At 35.9% G+C, this 20,987-nt stretch overlaps 1 protein-coding gene across 22 annotated transcripts in view, besides 1 other annotated feature; it reads left to right on the top strand.

The window, feature by feature from the left end:
* Window positions 1–20,987, top strand: part of ZZZ3 (zinc finger ZZ-type containing 3) — a 120,983-nt gene that overhangs the window by 69,156 nt on the left and 30,840 nt on the right. The window lies entirely within an intron of this gene.
* Window positions 19,707–19,826: an enhancer, noted in NCBI's record as "active region_1215". NCBI's record gives its function as "activates an Ori minimal core promoter by ATAC-STARR-seq in GM12878 lymphoblastoid cells {active_cell/tissue: GM12878}" and the evidence as "EXISTENCE:reporter gene assay evidence [ECO:0000049][PMID:35858748]".

Raw genomic sequence — 20,987 nt, 5'->3', positions numbered from 1 at the left:
ATCCGGTTTTACAGCATTGGATGTATCTTGATAAGCTACTGTCAGAAACATTCTGTGGCTAAAGTAATTTAAGGGTTGTGTTTAAGTCTTGATAGCAATCTGCATATGTTTAAAAAGCATATTTAAAAAATATTTTACATTAGTGTCATGTCATTAATCTGTATGTATTACTGGAAGACCTTAGCTGAGAGATGCATTTAAAATAATTTTCTATTTATTGTTTATAGCTATGTTTTGTGGGCTTGCTATGTTTTTAAAAAGATGTCATGCAGTCTGCATCAGAGGTAGCACTGCAGAGCTTTAACTGTTTTGTATTTGTTATTAAGTTATTGTGGCATTCAGTCTAAGGGCCCTTTGAAATTTTTGATATATTAAAAATGTATTATAGACTATGCTTAAAGAGATCCTAGATTTTCAAATTTTAATATATATTCGACATAGGGGAAAAGTCAATATGTAGGATATAACTTGTTTAGTTTATCAGGTAGGAATAGCACTCTTGGTATGTGTGTGGCAGGGAATGGAGAAGGTCAGGAGAAAAGAGAAAGGTCCTTGGCTGGATGTCTTTATTTTATTCTAATAAATGGATAATTTAATTTATTTCCTCCTTTAAAAAAGTCTCTTTACTTACTCTCTCTTCCTTACAATTGCATAGCAACACTAGAGAGGAGACATTTTGGTTCCTCAGTCTCTACCTACCATATAAACATATACCAAGAAACTCTTTAATGATAGATACCTGAGAAGCAGCGTTTAAAAATAGATGCTTTTTTTTTTTTTTAAAGGCGTGGAATAGCAGTGAAGAATAATGAGTTTTATTTATCTTGGTTCTAATAAATAATGTAGTAAATATCTTGCTTTTTAAGACCTAGTCTTCACAGGTTAATTGTGTGGTTAGGATTTGAAAGTGTAACTCAACTAAATGCAAATGAAAACAAATTTCTCTTTCAGAGAAATCTCAATTATGATTACATTTTTTCTGCAAATGGAAGAGTAATCCCTGTATTCTATGTTGTTAGTGTTTCTGTGGTTCATACTAAAGACTAATAATCCATGAAGAAGTTACCAACATCTATATGATGTCTTAAATGATTTACTGAAGGCAAAATGTGTCAACTACAACCTAAAGAATTGGTGGAAGTAAAGACTATCAGACACTTTATTTACAAAATAATAAATTTTATTGTGTAGATTTGAAGTTAGTAATATGTTATAGGATACATATAGGTAGTAAGTGGTTACTATAGTGAAGCACATTAACATATCTATCATCTCATATAGCTACATTTTTGGTGACAAGAGCAACTGAAATCTGCTTACTTAATAAAAATCTCTAATATAATTTATTAACTTTAGTTTTCATGCTGTATATTAGCTCTCTAAACTTGATCATCCTAGGTATCTACAATTTTGTATCCTTTGACCTATGTCTCCTCATATTCTCTTTCCCCACCCCCCTGCCAGTGGTATCCACTGTTTCATTATCTCTGTGTATTAGAGCTCTTTTTCTTTTCTAATATTCCACATATAGACCAGATCACGCAATATTTGTCTTTCTGTGTCTGGCTTATTTCATGTAGCATAATGCCCTCTAGGTCTGTTGGTGTTGTGGCAAATGGCAGTATCTCCTTTTAAAAAATTGAATAGTATTTCATTGTGTATATATGTACCACATTTCTTTGTCCGTTGTCTGTCAATGGACATTTAGGTTGTTTCCATATCTTAGCTATTGTGAATAATGCTTCAGTGAACATGGTAGTGCAGATATCTTTATGCCTCTGGGCATCTCCTTTGGGTAAATGCCCAGAGGAGGGATTGCTATGTCATATGGTAGTTCTTTTAAAAATGTCTTTAGGAACTTCCATACTGTTTGGTATAATGGTTGTATCAATCTACATTTCCACCAACAGTGTGCTAAGGTTTCCTTTCTCCATACCCTCAACCAGCATTTATTATCATCTGTCTTTTTGCTAACAGCCATCCTTATGGGTGTGAGGTTATATCATATAGTGGACTTAATTTGCATTTCCCTGATGATTAGTGATGTTGAGTACCTTTTCATATACCCATTGACCATTTTTATGTCTTTGGAGAAATATCTGTTCAACTCCTTTGCTCATTTTTAAATTGGATTATTTGTCTTTAAATTTTAGATACTAATCCCTTATCAGATATTTGATTTGCAAACATTTTTCCTTCTTTGTAGGTTGCCTTTTTATTTTGTTGTTTGTTTCCTTTGCCACGCTGAAGCTTTTTAGTTTGAGCTAGTCTCATTTATTTTTACCTTTGTAGCTAAGCTTTTTGTGTATTACCCAAAAAATCATTGCCAACACCAATGTTGAGGAACTTTCCTCCTATGTTCTCTTCTAGTTTATGGTTTTGGGTCTTATATTTAGGTCTTTCACTCGTTTTCATTTGATTTTTGTATATGGTATGGGATAAAGGTCTAATTTTGTCCTTATGCTTGTGGATATCCAGTTTCCCCAGCATCGTTTATTGAACTGACTGTCCCTTATTGTGTGTTTTCGCCACCTTTGTCAAAGACCAATTGACTGCAAACACGTGGGTTTATTTCTGCACTGTTTTACTTCATTTTCTGTTTTTTATGTCAGTACCATCCTATTTTGATTGTAATAGCTTTGTGTAGTATATTTTGAAATCATTGAGTGTGATGCTTCCGGCTTTGGGTTTTGTTTTTGTTTTTTGCTCAAGATTGCTTTGGCTATTTGGAGTCTTTTGTGGTTCCATACAAATTTTAGGATTGTTTTTTCTATATCTATGAAAAATGACATTGGAATTTTGATAGGGATTGCATTAAATCTGTAGGTTGCTTCGAGTAGTATGGACATTTTAATAGTATTAATTCTTCCCATGTATTTCTATCTTCCTGAGTTGCTTTCATCAGTATTTTATAGTTTTCAGCGTAGAGTTCTTTTACCTTCTTGGTTAAAGTTATTCCTAAGAGTTTTTGTGTTTTTTTGCATGTGGGTTGTTTTTTTTTTTTTTTTTTGGTAGGTATTTTTAAATGGGATTGTTTTCCTGGTTTCTTTTTTGGATAATTCATTGTTAGTGTATAGAAATGCTACTGATTATTGTATGTTGATTTTTGTATCCTGCAACTTAACTAATACTAAATTTGTTTATTCTAAAAGTGTTTTGGGTAGAGTCTTTAGGGTTTTCTATGTATAAGATCATGTCATCTGCAAATGGTGATGATTTAATTTTTTCCTTTCCAATTTAGATGCTATTTATTTCTTTCTCTTGACTAATTGCTGTGTCTAGGACTTCTATTACTGGGTTGAATGGAAGTGGTTTGGGGATCCTTGTCTTTTTTCAGATCTTAGAGGAAAAACATTCAACTTTTCACCCTTGAGTATGATGTCAGCTGTGGGCTTGTTGTATATGGCCTTTATTGTGTTGAGGGTGTTGAGGTACATTCCTTCTGTATTTAATTTGTTGAGAGTTTTTTTTTTTAATCATGAAGGGATGTCAAACTTTGCCAGTGCTTTTTCTGCACCAATTGAAATGATCATAGTTTTTGTCCTTCATTCTGTTGATATGATGTATCGCATTGATTTGCATATGTTGAACCATCCTTTCATCCCAGGGATAAGTCCTAATTGGCCATGATGAATTTTTTTTTTTAATGTATTGTTGAATTTTGTTTGCTTGTATTTTGTTGAGGGTTTTTGTTTCAACAGTCATCAGAGATATTGGCCTGTAGTTTTCTTTTTTTAACGTGTCTTTGTCTGGTTTGAGTATCAGGGTAATACTTCATATAATGAATTTAGAAGTATTCCCTCCTCCTCTATTTTTTGGTATAGTTTGAGTAGGATTGGTATTAGTTCGTCTTTAAATGTTTGGTAGAATTCAGCAATGAAGCCATTGGGTCCCAGGGTTTTCTTTACTGGGAGACTTTTTATTATGGCTTTGATCTTGTTACTTGTTATTGGTCTGTTCAGGTTTTGGATTTTTTCATGGCTTAGTCTTGGCAGATTATATCTAGCAATTTATCTATTCCAGATTTTCCAATTAGAGCAATTAGTTGCTCTAATGATCCTTTGACTTTCTGTGGTGTTGATTGTAAAGTCTGCTTTTTTTTTTTTATCTCTGATTTTATTTGGAGTGCTCTTTTTTTTTAAGTCTGGCCAAAGTTTGTCAGTTTTGTTTGTCTTTTCAAATTGATCATTTGTATTATTTTCTTTGTTTCAATTTCATTTACTTCTGATCTATATGATTTCTTCTAATTTTGGGTTTGGTTTGCTCTTGCTTTAAGATGCATTTTAGGTTATCTATTTGAAGTTTTTTGTTTTTTATGTTGGCACTGATACCTATAAACTTCCCTTTTAGCATGGCTTTTGCTGTATCCTATAGGTTATGGTATGTTGTGTTTTCATTATCATTTGTTTCAAAAAGTTTTTCAATTTCCTTTTAAATTTCTTCATTGACCCACGGGTCATTCAGGAGTATATTGTTTAATTTGCATGTGTTGGTATTGTTTCCAAAATCCTCTTTTTACTGATTTCTAGTTTTATTCCATTGTGATCAGAGAAGATGCTTGATATTATTTTTAGTCTTTTTGAATGTTTTAAGACTTGTTTTGTGACCTAACATATTCTGTCCTCAAAAATGACCCTTTTGCTGAGGAAAAGGATGTGTATTCTGCAGACATTGGATGAAATGTTCTGTATCTGTTAGGTCCATTTGGTCGGTCTATAGTGCAGATTAAGTCTGCTGTTTCTTTGTTTATTTTTCTGTCTGGAAGATCAGTCCAATGCTGAAAGTGGGGTGTTGAAATCTCCAGCTGTTACTGTATTGGGGTCTATCTCTCTCTTTAGCTCTAACAATATTTGCTTTATATATCTGAGTGCTTCAGTGTTGAGTGCATATATATTTCTAATTGATATATCCTCTTGCTGAATTGATCCCTTCATCATTACATAGTGACCTTCTTTGTCTCTTTTTATAGATTTTGTCTTAAAATCTATTTTGTTTGATAAAAGTATAGCTATTCCTGCTCTTTTTTGGTTTCCATTGGCAGGAAATATCTTTTTTCATCGCTTTATTTTCAGTGTATGTCTGTCTTTATAGGTGAAGTGTGTTTCTTGTAGGCAGCAGATCCATGGGTCTTGTTTATTTTTCATCCGTTCAGCCAGTCTGTGTCTTTTGATTGGAGAATTTAGTCCATTTACATTTAATGTTATTACTGATAAGTAAAGACTTACTCCTGCCATTTTGTTATTTATTTTCTGGTTGTTTTGTGGTCCTCTCTTCGTGTCTTTTTTTAGTGAAGGTGATTTTCTCTGGTGTTGTGATTTAATTTCTACCATTTTATTTTTTGTGTATGTGTTATATGTTTTTTCATTTGAGGTAAGGTTACCATGAGGCTTGCAGAGACTATCTTTAACCCATTATTTTAACCTGATAACAACTTCACACTGCCTGCATAAACAAATAAACAAAAACAAGACTTAAAAAAACTCTACACTTTAACCTTGTCCCTCTGCTTTTTAACTTTTTATTGTTTCATATCTTTTTGTGCTATGTCTTGAAAAGTTATAGTCATTTTTGACTGGTTCATCTTTTAGTCTTTCTACTTAAGAGTAGCTTACACACCACAGTTACAGTGTTATATTATTCTGTGTTTTCCTGGGTACTTACTATTGCCAGTGAGTTTTGTACCTTCAGATGATTTCTTATTGCTCACTAATGTCCTTTTCTTTCTGATTGAAGTACTTCCTTTAGCATTTCTTGTAGGACAGGTCTGATGTTGATGAAATCCTTCAGATTTTGTTTGGGAAAGTCATTATTTCTCCTTCATGTTTAAAGCATATTTTCACTGCATATACTATTCTAGGGTAAAATTTTTTTCCTTCAGCACTTTAAGTTTGTCATGCCACTCTCTTTGGGCCTGTGAGCTTTCCACTGAAAAGTCTGCTGCCAGACATATTGGAGCTATGTTGTAATTTGTTTCTTTTCATTTGCTGCTTTTGGGATCCTCTCTTTATCCTTGACCTTTGGGAGTTTGATTATTAAATGACTTGAGGTAGTTTTCTTTGGGCTAAATCTCCTTGGTTTTCTAGAACCTTCTTGTACTTGGATACCTTTCTCTAGGTTTGGGAAGTTCTCTGTTCTTATCCCTTTGAATAAACTTTCTACCCCTATGTCTTTCTTTGCCTCCTCTTTAAGGCTAATAACTCTTAGATTTGCCCTTGTGAGGCTATTTTCCAGATCCTGTAGTCATGCTTCATTGTTTTGTATTCTTTTGTTGTTGTTTCCTCTGTGTATTTTCCCTTCCCTCCTTCCTTTTTTTTTTTTTTTTTGAGACAGAGTCTTGTTCTGTCGCCCAGGCTGGAGTGCAGTGGCATGATCTCAACTCACTGCAACCTCTGCCTCCCAGATTCAAGCAATTCTCCTGCGTCAGCCTCCCACAGCTGGGACTACAGGCACGTGCCACCACACCCAGCTAATTTTTGTATTTTTAGGAGAGATAAGGTTTCACCATGTTCGCCAGGCTGGTCTCGAACTCCTGACCTTGTGATCTGCCTGCCTCGGCCTCCCAAAGTGCTGGGATTACAGGTGAGCCACTGTGCCCGGCCTCCTCTCTGTATTTTCAAATAGCCTGTCTTAAAGCTCACTAATTCTTTCTTCTGTGTGATCAGTTTTTCTATTAACAGACTCTGATTCATTCTTCAGTATATCAGTTGCATTTTTCAGCTGCAGAATTTCTGTTTCTTTTTCTTTCAATCTCTTTGTTAAATTTATCTGATAGAGTTTTGAATTCTTTCTCAATGATATCTTGAATTTCTCTGAGTTTCCTCAAAACAGTTTGATATGGTTTGGCTGTGTTCCCACCCAAGTCTCACCTTGAATTGTAATAATCCCCATGTGTCAAGGGCAGGGCCAGGTGGAGATAATTGAATCATGGGGATGGTTTCCTGCATACTATTCTTGTAGTAGTAAGTCTCCCAAGATCTGATGGTTTTATAAATGGACATTCCCCTGCACAAGTCCTTTTGCATGCCCCCATGTAAGACGTGACTTTGTTCCTCATTTGCCTTCAGCCATGATTGTGAGGCCTCCCCAGCCATGTGGAATTGTGAGTCAATTAAACCGCTTTCCTGTCCAAATTACCCAGTCTCAAGTATGTCTTTATTAGTAGCATGAGAACAGACACACAGCTATTTTGAATTCTCTGTCTGAAAGGTCACATATGTCTGTTTCTCCAAGATTGGTCCCTGGTGCCTTGTTTAGTTCATTTGGTGAGGTTCTGTTTTCCTGTGTTGGCTTGATGCTTGTAGTAGATGCTTGGACATCTACTACAGTGTCTGGACATTGAGGAGTTAGGTATTTATTTTAGTCTTCTCAGTCTGGGCTTGTTTGTAGCTGTCCTTCTTGGGAAGGCTTTCCAGGTATTTGAAAGGACTTGAGTGTTGTGATCTAAGCTATATCTGTATTAGAGGGCATCCCAAGCCCAGTAACATTGTAGTTCTTACAGACATACTACCTTGGTGGTCTTGGATAAGATCTGAAAGAATTCTCTGGATTACCAGGCAAAGATTCTTTTTCTCTTCCCTTACTTTCTCTCAAATAGAGTTTCTTTCTCTGTGCTGAGCTGCTTGGGGCTGGGCATGGGGTGACAAGCACCCCTGTGGCCACCACCACTGGGACTGGGCTTGGTTAGACTTGAAGGCAGCACAGCACTGAGTCTCACCCAAGGCCCGCTATATCCACTACCTGGCTACAGCCTATGTTTGCTCAAGGCTCTAGGGCTTTATATTCATGTAGCAACCCCAGCCAGGCTTGTGTCCTTCCCTTCAGGGCGGTGAGTTCCCTGAGACTCTGGGGAGGTCTAGAGATGCCATCCCGGAGCCAGGGACTGAAGTAAAAAACTTTAGATATCTACCTGGTGTTCTATTCTCCTGCAGCCGAGCTAGCACTCAAACCATGAGACATGGTGCTTCCCACCTTTCCCTGCATGCCATAGGCAGAGGAGCCTCACCCCATGGCCACCATCACCACAGGCCCGTGGGGAGTACTGTCAGGCTGCCACTAATTTTCACTGAAGGCCCAAGGCCTCTTCAGTCAACTTGTAGTCAATGCTGCCAGGTTGGGGAGTAACACTTCAGGGTAGTGGACCCCCTTCTGGCTCAGGGCAAGTCCAGAAATGCCATCTAAGAGCTAAGGCCTGGAATTGGGGACCCCAAGAGCCTGCTTGGTGCTCTATCCCACTGTGGCTGAGCTGATACTTAAGGTACAAGACAAAGTCCACTTTGCTTTTCCCTCTGCTTTTCTTAAGCAGAAGGAGTTTCTCACCATAGCCATCATAGCTGGGAATGTGCTAGGTCTCACCTGAAGCCAGCACATTTCAGAGTCTCACCCAAGGCCCATGATGTACTACCTGCGTGTCACTGCTGGTTATTCAAGGTCCACAGGCTCTTTAGTCAGCAAATGATGGATGCTGCCAGGACTGGTTCCTTCCCTTCAAGGCAGTGGGTTCCTTTCTGGCCCAGGGTGTGTCTAGAAATGTTATTTGGGAGCTATGGCCTGGAATGGGGGCCTCATGACCTTGTCTGTTTCCCTATCCTACTGTGGCTGAGCTTATAACCAAGATGCAAGACAAAGTCCTCATTACTCTTCTCTCCTTTCCTCAAGTGAAAGAAAGGGGTCACGAGCTGTGTTGCCTGTGGTTAGGGGAAGGGTGGTGCAAGCACTCCCTTAATTGCTCTGGCTGGAGTCTCAGTAGGTCACATGCCCCCCATGTCTCCTGGCTTCGAGCCCAGCTGACAACTAGAACTTGCCTAGGAACTGCAGTTGTGGCCTAGGCTGCTTTTCAAGTTTATTTAATGCTCTAGAGCACTTTAGTCCAGGTGGCCAGGGTTGCTGGAACTGAATGAACAATTGCCCTCTGGCTAGGGCTGGTGTGAGCGGGCGTTAGCTGCCTGGTTTTGCTTTCTACTGTGATGGCAGCATGGAATTTGATGTAGTCTCATGATGAGTGCCCTCTCTCTCATTAATCATAGATTTTCTCTCTGTGCCTTGTGGTCACTGCTGGGGGATAGGGAAGGGGTGGCATCTGCAACTCAAGACTGTCTTTCCTACCCTCTTCAGTGCCTCTTTCAGCAACATGAAGTTAAAACCAAGTACTGTGAGTGTTCACCTGATTTTTGGATCTCATGAAGGTTCTGTTTTTTTGGGTAGATAGTTGTTAGATTTAGTGTTCCTTTTTGGGGGGACCATCGGTGGAGCCTTATACTCGGCTATCTTGCTCTGCCCCTCTTTAGGATTTTTTTCAGTCAAAATCTTCTAAGTGAAACATTTTCTCCTACACTTTGCAGTTAAAAAAATTTGTGTGTTGGCAGGGATACGTGTATAAATGGATAATGGAGCTGGTCTATAAACAATGACAAGCATTCTTTTAGAAAATTTTATCAGATACAACATAGGAAACTTTGGAATGTGGTTAAGTGTATTTTGCACTACAGTGGCAGAGAAAAAAAGGAAAAAGAATATGGTTAAGTGTAAACTGATACTATCAAATGCTTATTGAAATATTTTGAGGTGTGGTAAGCCTTAATTTAAACATGTTTACATTCAAAAGTATACAGCCATTCAACAAGGTTATCGATCTAAGGGAATGGATTTAGAACATAGGGGATGCTTGAGTTGCCTGTTCTCACGTAGTTTACTAGAAATATTACTTCTAGTAGATGATGCTGGTAATTCTTGCTTTCTTGATTTACGAAGATTTTAGAAATCTAGCCTGCAAATACTTTAAAAAAATTGTGTTGCAATTATATATTATCTTTGTACCTTAATGTTTAGAGTTATTTCATTCTTTCATTTTACTTATGAATAGCAGTTTGTTCTCTATTACTAGTAATTCTTAATGAATCTATTTCTTTTTAAGAATGATACAGTGTAGTGGTTTTCAAATCTAGCTGCATATTAGAATCACTTGGGATGTTATAAAAATATATGAATGCCTAGCCCTGCCTTAGAGAATCTAATTTAATTAATCTGTGAAGCCTCAGTCATCTCTATTACCAATTTTTTTTAAAACGGCGTCCCACTACAATATCTCTAGCCTAGGCTAGAGTGCAGTGGCTACTCATAATTGGAGACATAGCAGCCTGCAGCTTTGAATCCTGGGCTCAAGCGATCCTCCCACTTCAGCCTCCTGAGTAGCTAGGACTACCGGTGTGGACCACCATACCCAGTAATTTTTAAATTTTTTTTTTTGTAGAGATGGGTTCTCACTATGTTGCCTGGGCTAGTCTCAAAATCCAAGCATCAAGTAATCCTCCTGCATCAGCCTCCCAAAGTGCTTGGATTATAGGCATGAGCTGCTCCACCCAGCCTGCTTGATATTTTAGTTTAATTTTGTTGTCGGAAATAATAATTTTGTTGTTAAAAGTTTTATGTCAGAAATAAGATCTGAGATCTGAAATATTCCTCTTTTTTTTTAAGAAGCTCTTCGAATCAGTGGCTCATAATCTTTATATAAAACTTACCTTATGTATTAGACCTTGAGTATAAAAAAATTTTGCCTTGTCCTGTTAAAAATGTAGATTCCTAGGTCTGCATTTAGAGAGTGTTTTAGTAGATTAGGGACAGGAAATGGGCACCCGGATGTTTAACTTTGCATCTTGGGGATATTCATGCACATAATCTAGTCCTTACACCGCTTTGGGAAACCTGACCCTTAGAAGCTTTTTCTTTTATTCTTAAGAGATTCCCATGACCCTACTTTTGCAGGTGGAAGAGAAATACAATCTTCACTTTGCTTGGAAGAAAATTATTGAGGCAAAGAAAACATAGGTATGGTTTTTTGTGGTATGATTTCTATTGTATTAATAGTTGGGGCCAGGCATGGTGGCTCATTCCTATAATCGTAGCACTTGGGAGTCCAAGGTTAGGAGGATCACTTGAGCCCGGGAGTTTAAGACCAGTCTGGGCAACATGGTAAAACCCTGACTCTACAGAAAATCCAAAAAATAGCTGGGCATTGTGGCTTGCGCCTGTAGTCCCAGCTACTTGGGAGGTTGAGGTGGGAGGATTGATTCAGCCCAGGAGATCAAGGCTGCAGTGAGCCATGATCGTATCCTACTGCACTCCAGCCTGGGCAACAGAGCAAGACTCTGTTTAAAAAAAAAAAGTTGACAGGTTCTTAAAGAAATAGGTATGTTCTGGTTTTCAGAAGTTTTTTTTTTTCACTGCTAGATATGGCAATTTTTATTTAAGTTCAGAGTCATAGGTCTGACTAATTAATTTAAAACTGCCTTGAAGATAGAGTGAAAAAAATTGCAGTACCCTGTTCATCATACTCATAACTCATGTAGCCGAGCGTGGTGACTCATGTTGTAATCCCAGCACTTTGGGAGGCCGAGGTGGGCAGATCACGAGGTCAGGAGTTCAATACCAGCCTGGCCAACATGGTGAAACCCCGTCTCTACTAAAAATACAAAAATTAGCCAGATATGGTGATGCACATCTGTAATCCCAGCTACTGGGGAGGCTGAGGCAGGAGAATTGCCTGAACCCAGGAGGCAGATGTTGCAGTGAGCCCTGATCACGCCATTGCACTTCAGCCTGAGCAGCTGAGCAAGACTCAGTCTCAAAAAAAAAAAAAAAAAAAAATCAGTAAAAATAATGGTTGTGTCTGGACCTGCATCTGTTTTCTCTTATTTAGTGTTCTTAATGATAATTGAAATTCTGGTTGGTCACTGGCATTATGATTTAGGATTCCAAGTATAATATTTCAGTGCTAGAGTAATTACCTGTGGTCAACCCCAATGCTTTAGATTATAGAGTCTTTAATTTTATCAATCAAACAAATATGCACTCTGTACTGCTGTTGGTTTACTCTGAATAGGTGGACAAGTAATAATTGAGAGATAAATACATAGAAGAATACATGAAGTTATTTATTTTGTTACAGCTGCACCTTTTCTGTATTTCCCCTTACCTATACTTGCTTCCTTTACTTATGTGGCTTAGATGGCCTGTTCTTTAAAGTGCATAGCTTTCTTGCCAACAGTTTTTCTTCCTTTCTCCCATTGTCTTTGCTCTTGTTGAGGAAAAATCACATATTTCTGCATATTGCTACAACTCTAAAGGCATGGTTTCCAATTATAGTTGGGAGCCTCTCAGGTGCCCTGTACCTTCCATGTTTCTCTTACGTAGCTTTTTATTTATGTTTATTTAAAATCTTTTTCACTTTCATTAAGCTGCCATATCCTCATTCAGCAGATTAGCAGAGCGGAACTTCCTTAGCCAACATCTTGCCACCAAACCTAATTTGTCTGTATCTGTCCCCATCCTTCCTGAGAGTATATAGCCTATTGATTATGCTCTTGGCAGTCAGGCTTAGGTGGGTTCAAATCCACCCTTGAAACCTTAGGCAAGGTTAGTTAACCTTCTTGAAGTTTGGTTTCCTAATCTATAAAGTGAGGGCAGTAATACTTATAGGACTCCTAGAGGTTGTAAAGGGCTTAGCATAGTATCTTATAAGTACTAAATTTTCAATGCAAAATGATGATGATAATGTAAACCGTCTTTTAAACAGGGAAATGAAGGGATCTCTTTCTCTCTTTTACTCTAAGCTAAGCCTACTGCCAGTGAATTGGGTCCTATCCCTTTTGGGACCTTGCTGTATTCTTACTCTTCACTGATTTTTCAAAATCAACCTTTCTATTGGCCCTGTTCCTATCAGCATTTAAACATGATACAATTTTTTCTTATTTAAAAAATCCTCTTTTTTATATCCTGTATACTTTTGCAACTACTGTTCTATTTACTTTCTTCCCATCGCAATTTCTTGAATAACTTGATTCTATTTTCTATTTCTGTTTTGTTCATCTTTCACTTACTCTTACCATTGAAATCTAGGTTTGACCCTCATCACTCCACTGAAATGACTTACTAGTGATTTCCTTGTGTGAAGTCCAGTGGAGACATCTCATTGTTTTACCTTAGATTCTTCATTAGTAGTCGGTTTGGTAGGTCATACCCTCCTTCTTGAAACATTTTTCCAGTTTCTGTGGTATTATTTTTGTCTAGACAGTCACCAAGTTCTATAGGGCCTATCTTACAAAGCTCTCAAATTCACCCTACTTACCTTTTCTATCTCCATCCCCACTACCTTAATACAGTCCACTTTCTCTTGGATTATCACAACAGCTCCTTAATTGGTCTTTCTCTAGAGTCTTGTTCCATTCTAATCCATTCTTCTTGTTCTGATGTGAATGATCTTTGTAAAATGCAAAACTTTTGTGATTCTCCAGGTTAAAACTCCATCCTAGTCTGACTGAAAACTCAGGTTAAAACTCAGTCTAGTCTGAGTCCAGTCTTGGTTTTATAGAGCACTGTGTAATTGATTCCTGTCTTTAAAACTCCGTCCTAGTTAGTCTAGTCTGAGTACAGTTTTGGTTTTATAGAGCACTGTGTAATTGATTCCTTTCTTCCTCTTGAGTCTCAACTCTTTTTTCACTCCAAGTCACGCCAAAGCTGTTTGTGGTCCTAAAGTCCTGTGCTTTGCCTAAAAACGTTTCTGCATGTTATCTCTTCTGTTTGGAACAACCCCGGGAACCCTTTCCCTTTTACTACCTTTTCTTAGCTAATTGTCTTTCTTCTGCCTGGTCTCTGTTGAACTTCTTTTGGGAAGCCACCCCTGACCCTTAGAGATTTTTGTTTGATGCCCTCCTAAATTATGTGCTTCTCTCTTTTTAGCACTTAACACCTCGTATTTTATTTACTTAACTGTGCAAATAAATATAATTTTCTCAGCTTTCTCCCTTGACTGATATCCTCTGTTAGGAAAAGTTCTTTGTCTATTTGTTCACTGTTATATCTCCAGTGCTTAGTACCGTACCTTAGCTTAATAGGTAAAAATGAATTAATGAATAAATGGGTGAAATCTTGCTGGTTCTTCAGGTATTTAGAACTAAGAAAAAAGATATTAAACATCTTTACTTTAGCCTGAGTATATGTTTGGCTTATTTAAGCCTTCTATGTAAACCACACCAAGTGGCTAATCTTTTCTTACAGTTTTAAGCCAAATAAACAAAACAAGGAAAATATAGCTTAGCTGTCAAACATGATTTTTTTTTTTTAAGTCTTATAGGGACATATACATATTGTGCACTCTAATGTGGATGTAGTCTACCTTCCAAATTAGGATAGATTCTGGGAAGAGAAACCTGGTAACCATTGTAATAGAGGCCATTGAAAGAATGGCTATATTTTCAGGATTGTTGATGAAACCTTTCATGCAAAAGAAAATAACATCTGAAACACATTAGAAAATATACTTCTTTCTGAGGGCTAACATAGATAACATATATAATGAAGACTTTTTGGAAAGAGGCAGGTGTTTTTGTACAATTGTTTGAGGTTATAAAAACTTTTAAATTATGGATGACATGTTTTGTTAGAAGATTGTCTACTCTGATATATATACATTTAATTTTTTTAAAAATCTAGTACTCTTCTTTCTCTGCCTTTGTATTCTGTTACTGAATTAGTATTTGTACTAGCAGATGAATAAGAGCAGGAAGAGTTGTTAAACAGACTAATTTTTTTACTCGTTCTGCTGTATTTAAAAGTAAGGCAATAAATTAAGGCCTCATTTAGGTTTTGGATCATTTCTGAGTTTTAGATGTAGGTTAACTGTCCCAATGTATAAAATCTGAGCTCAGTATTACAGATAAATTAGTATTTGTAAATAATTATATTATGAAAAGAATTGTATGGCAAGAATCTTCCACCCATACTTAACTTTTCTGAATTTTGTTTATGTCATCTGTAAAGTGGTAATAATACCTATTTCAAAGGGTTTTTCATCAAGTATAAGTATGATTACATATGTAATCATAACTAATGTATATTCAATAAATATTTGTGGAATGAGTGTATAAGTTAGGTAATACCAGTATAAAGAATAAAATTAATAGAATTGTAAAAGTATAATGAATAATATAAGGTAGCAAATAGCTATATAATAATTTCTTTACAAGTTTTAATTTTGTCTTGTGATTTTAAAATTTATATAAACTGAGCCTTTACCAGATGCTCATATACCTAAATACTACTTTTACTATTTATTTATTTATTTAAATACTCTTTAAAAACCACTGTCATGTAAATGCTTAAGTTGGTCTAATATGATTCTATAAAAGGACTACCATTACTAAATTGAAGGAACTGTTGCCCTTGAATTTGTCGTCTCTCCAGCCTCCTCATCAGAATGTATTAAGAATATATAGTAGCTGTGCCAGATATAATGGGGCCGGTTTAACTACTGTGCTAAAGCACTAAAATTGAAACAGTAGAAGTGTACTTACTTAATAGCTAAAGTTATATAACTACAGTAGGTCTAAAGATTAGATTTGTTGGAGAAAGGTTTTACAACATGGGAAATGCTTTAGCAACTGTCACTCTTAAGTAAAATAGAGATAATATCTAAAAAGGTATTTCGAATAAATCTCTCCATTGAGTCTAGATAGCAGCTGAGAATTATTTACAAATTGTTGAGTTCCGGAACTGGTGGCATGATTGCACTATGTCTTAATGTTTAACCAGAAATAAATGGCAATAAATTTGCTAACATAAAAAGGTAAATTTTAAATTAATCAGACGGGATCTCTTAAATTGTGATATTTCAACTGGTGCAATCTTAAATATGTACCTTAACTAAATACTTTCTCATTTGCTGTTCCAAGATAAAGCAATAGTGGCTACAAGGAAGGTTGATAAATTTATATTTACAGTACATGGGTTCAAACTGCGCAGGTCCACTTATGTGCAAATTTTGTCCTGCATCTGACACCCCTGGAACAGCAAGACCAACCCCTCCTCTTCCTTCTCCTCAGCCTATTCAATGTGAGGATAATGAAGATGAAGACCTTTAGGATGGTTCACTTCTACTTAATGAGTAGTAAATATATTTTCTCTTCCTTATGATTTTCTGAATAACATATTCTGTTCTCTAGCTTACTTTATTTTAAGAATATAGTATGTATTATAGGTATCATACAAAATATCTGTTAATCGACTGTTTATGTTATATGGTAAGGCTTCTGGGTCAACAGTAGTCTTAGTAGTTAAGTTTTCGGGAGTCAAAAGTATTTTAGACTGCAGTGGGAGCATCTGTGCTCCTAACCCCTGTTGTTGCTCAAGGGTCGACTGTATTTATTTATTTTTAAAAATAGACTTTTAAAAAAGCATGGTTTTAGATTTACAGAAATATCTAGAACATATTACAGGGTTACTGTATACTCTATACCCAATTTCCTGTATTATTACTATCTTACAGTAGTATGGTATGGTTCATTTGTTACAATTAATGAATCAACATTGTTATTAACTCAACTTTATACATTATTGAGTTCCTTAGTTTTTACCTAATGTCCTTTTTGTGTTCCAGAATCCCATGTAGGATACCACATTACATTTAGTTTTCATGTCTCCTGAGTCTTCGCTTGGCTGGAGCAGTTTTTCAGACTTGCCTTGTTGTTGATCTGAACAGTTCTGAGGGGTACTAGTCAGGTATTACAGATGCCTCTCTATTTGAATTTGTCTGATATTTTTCTCATGATTAGACTGGGGTTATGGGTTTTTGAAAGGAAAACAATAGAAGTAAAATGCCATTTCTATCACATGCTACCAGGGTGCATACTAGCAATAAGATTTATTGCTATTGATGTGACTTTAATCACCCAGCTGAGGGTAGTGTTGGTCAGGTTTCTCCACTGTAATTATTCTTTTTTCCTCCCCTTTTCATACTGTATTCTTTGGAAGGAAGTCACTATGCACAGGCCACACTGAAGGAATGGGGAGCTGCGTTCCCTATTCTTGAGGGCAGAGTGTCTGCATAAGTTATTTGGAATTCTTCAAGGGAGACTTTTTCTCTTTTTCCTCATGTATTTATTTACTCATTTATTTATATCAGTGTGGACTGACAGTTTTATACTTTGGATTATAATGTGGTACTGCTTTATTGTTGCTCAAATTGTTCCAGCTTTTGGTTGTTGGGAACCTTTCTATTGGCTTTTGTGTCCCTGTGATATAACCCCATCAAGGTGATGTCTTTTTTTGTTGTTTTTTGAGTGCTTCTTACTTTTTGACACTATAAAATACTTGACGCTCATTTTGTATATTTCCTCCCTTAGTTCTAGAATCGGCCATCTGTCCAGGGAACCCTAGTTCCTATTGGAGAATGGTATTAGAAACCAAAATTTGGGTGCCAAATGTGTTTATTGTTGCTTTTATTTAGCTGTCTCAGCTGATAGAGCAAGAAAATTGTGTATATGAACCCATGTATATGCACATATCTATAAACTGAGCTAAACCTGAGTTCATGTAATGACTCCCAACTCTAATCCATCACCACATGGATCATTCTAGCCTCCTTCCCTTGTTTATCTGTACAATTCCACTCCAGAAGTGGCAATCCTGGCCACCTGTCAACTATTTAATTATTTAATTTCATTATATATGGACATCAGTATCAGAATTGTTAATTGTGAATTGTGAAAAACTCTTATCAACTAGAATACAGTGCTATGTACAGTTCCTCTTGCCTTTGGTCTTACAGATGCCACTCATTTCCAATTACATAGGTCAGCGCCTTTTCTTCCTGCCCCTCAGTGAGGTTGTTTGAGACATTCGTAATATAGTCAGATTCTTTTATTCCTGAACTTGTAAATAACTTTTAAAAAATTTGTATACATTAAGGTTAATTCTTTGTGCTTAAAAGGTTTATGGGTTTTGATAAATGCATGGTATTATATACCCAACATTGCAGTGTTATATGAAATAGTTTCACCTCACCAGTCTGAAAAAAAATTCCCTTTGCTTCATGTATGCAATCCTCCTCCAACCCCATTGAACTTCTAGGAACTACTGATGTTTTTATTGTCTCTGTAGTTTTGCCTTTTATGAATTGTCATATAATGAGAATCATAAAGTATATGTAGCCTTTTAGACTGAAGAAAAATTTTTTAATGTTCTTTCCTAGTATCTTTAGAAACATTGATTTAGAATAACTTTGATTAAAGTCTAATCCAAACTTTCATCTCATATACCACCTCTCTGCAGCATCCTTTGATGGTCAGTCATTCAATATCTGTTTCAGTTTATCTAGTTCTAGGGAATTCACTAGCTTATGAAGTAGCACATACCATTGTTTGTTATAACAGAAATTCTTTACTTGGTATTAAGCCTCAAATTCCTCCCCAGAAATTCTACCCAGTGATTTGGATTTGACTGTGGGATGACTTGAAATAGGTCTGTTCTCTTTTCTACGTAGCAAGTATTCGTATCTTGAATGCAGTTTCAGTATACCCTCTTTTGCTTTTCAGTATACCCTCTTCTTTAAGTTTTCTGCTTTTCAGTTAGTTAACAACTTCGGTGCTAAATAGGATGCTCAGAGTGTAATTTTATACGTCAGCTACATAGCTTTCTTTGAAGTTTCCTTTGCCATTTTCATCTCTCTCCAATTTATCTTATACATTGTGATCATATTAGCCTTCCAAATGCAAATGTTTGCTTGTATCATCATTTAATTGTTTAAAACTTACATTTACTCCGTATTGCATTAGAATGGTACACTTTACAATAATTTGTGAAGGGCATGCTTCACAATAATCTGTGGAGTTTTAAAAAATATATAGATGCTCTACTTCCTGGGGATTCTGGAATTGGACAGAGATTTTAGAGAGTCTCCTATTTTGTAGAAGAGGAAACTAAAAGCCTGATAAGGTGTAATATTTGATATTCTGTCTAGAATGTCTTAACCTCTTTTTGCCTTTCCTTTTGAAATCCCATCTATTTTTCAGGATTCAACTTGCTTTTTACTTCTTATATGATGCATTGTTTGTATCTCCCTGAAATGATCATTTTGTTCATAACATGCTTATGCATTCATCATGGCTAGTTAAATTTTGCATATGTGTATTTCTCTTAGAGTACATTAATCATTAAAACTCTGGCAAATTCTAGGAATTCACTAAGAATTTTATAAGCTTTCTTATTTTTCAATATTTAAATAAACAACTACTGTTCACACAGTCACATCTTCTTCCCTAAATTGTAATGATCTTGAAGGTAGTGCTGCATGTTGGTTATATGTGCCTCCTTTAGAATGGTTGATGTAACAGAACATACAGTGAATGTGCATGGTAAGTGTTTGAATGGGTTGATGCAAGTTCAAGATAATATTACAAATAATGTTTGTTGAGCAGCACTTTATACTTTGCCTCATAGTAAGCTAATGATCCAGCTGAGAGGACCACAATTTTTTTTTTTTTTTTTTTTTTTTGGGCCTGTCAAGGCAAGTTCATACCATCCTATACTTATCTGGTTGTTTTGTAATTCAATGCCATATTTTTTGTTTATGTAGTTAAATGTTATCTTGTTGTTGGTCTAGTTTTCTAGCTTGCCTGTTATTTCTTAATCCTGATTTTTTTAATCTATAGTATTTGCTATCCTTCTCAGCTTCATGTTCATAAATTTGGCAAGTTTGTTTTTTATGTGTTCATTTAAGTGTTAAGTGTTGAAAAGAATTGAGGCTTGTATGTTCCTTTAGCATACTTAAAGAACTCCCAAGATGTCATAAACAGAATATTAAAACAGTGCTCTAAATATAGTCTAGAACTATATCTGAACTGTCGTCATTGAAGAGTCATCCATCTGTATAACTACTCAGCTCTTATTTTCTTTTGTAGTTTCTGTTTTCATTTTTATGAGCACTTTCTGTTTCTTGAACCTTACTATGCTATGGGACAGCATTAAAGATGTAGAAAAATGGCTTTCCTCTTAAAAAATCACACAATATAATAAAATAAGACATTCATTTTAAGAACTAAAGGGATAGGTGTACCTAAAAATTTTTGCCTTCAGGCAGTATACTGTTTAGTGACCTAGGGAACAGCCAGTCTCTTCATAAACCAGCCATAATATTCCTGATAATTTCCTTTTAGAAGTGACTTTTGTGAGAGAAAAGTTATTATGCCTCATGAGTAGACACTATAAAGTAGGAGAAACTTATCACATAGGTCTTTTTAAATATTCTCCTCTTTGAAGGCAGTAACTTTGCATACTTCTAGCTGTGGGCAGAGCCAATAAGCCCAGTTGTCAGATACGATTCTGTATGAAGAAAGTGGAGACTTAATGCTGTATTTGTGTATACAACATAAATGGAATCCATTTACAACTCAGAAAGAATATATAGTAATGAGTGACCTGAGTGGTACAAGTATCTTAGGATCCTTGAATGTTTTGCTTAGAAAAAAAGCTTTTGCAATTATCCATTTTGTCCATTTTCATTTTAAAGACAAAGAAGCAAGACCCAAGGTTTAATGACTTGAATAAAGTTCCATGGTTAGTTGCTGGTAGAGCTGGGACTTGAACTAGGACTCTTAAAAAGTTCTAAAGAGTGCAGGTGATCTCTTTGTAACATTTTCTTCCTAGAAAAGTTATTTTCCCTTAAAAAAAATTGTGCAATATCTTATGCATATAAGACTAATGAAGTATTTATGCACAGTTATAGAGTAATTATGAAATCAAATAGCCTATAGTTGTTTAATCACTATCCAGGTTAAGAAATAAAATATTGATAGCACTTTACAAGTCTCCTAGGAATAGTTCTTCAGTTATACCTTGCCCCTTTCCTCTTCCCAGAGGTAAATATGATCTTACTTTTGAGAAAATAATTCTTTGCTGTTTTAAAAACTTGTAACCACCTATATGTGTATCCTTTTAACAATAAAGTTTAGTTTTTCATGCTTTTGAACCGTACTGTATCTGTTCATTTGTAATACATTATGTTTGTGATATTTGTATGTGTTTATATAAATAGATGTCCATTTTCATTGCTATATTAAGCATTAGTATTAGATGGACTTTGGGGTTATTAATAAGGCTGCTATGAACATATGTCTTATACTGTGTATATTCAAGAGTTTCTTGAGGTCGTACCTAGGTAT

Source organism: Homo sapiens, chromosome 1 (genome assembly GCF_000001405.40).
Source record: "Homo sapiens chromosome 1, GRCh38.p14 Primary Assembly".
Lineage (NCBI taxonomy): Eukaryota > Metazoa > Chordata > Mammalia > Primates > Hominidae > Homo > Homo sapiens.
This window is presented reverse-complemented; position numbering and strand designations above follow the sequence as displayed.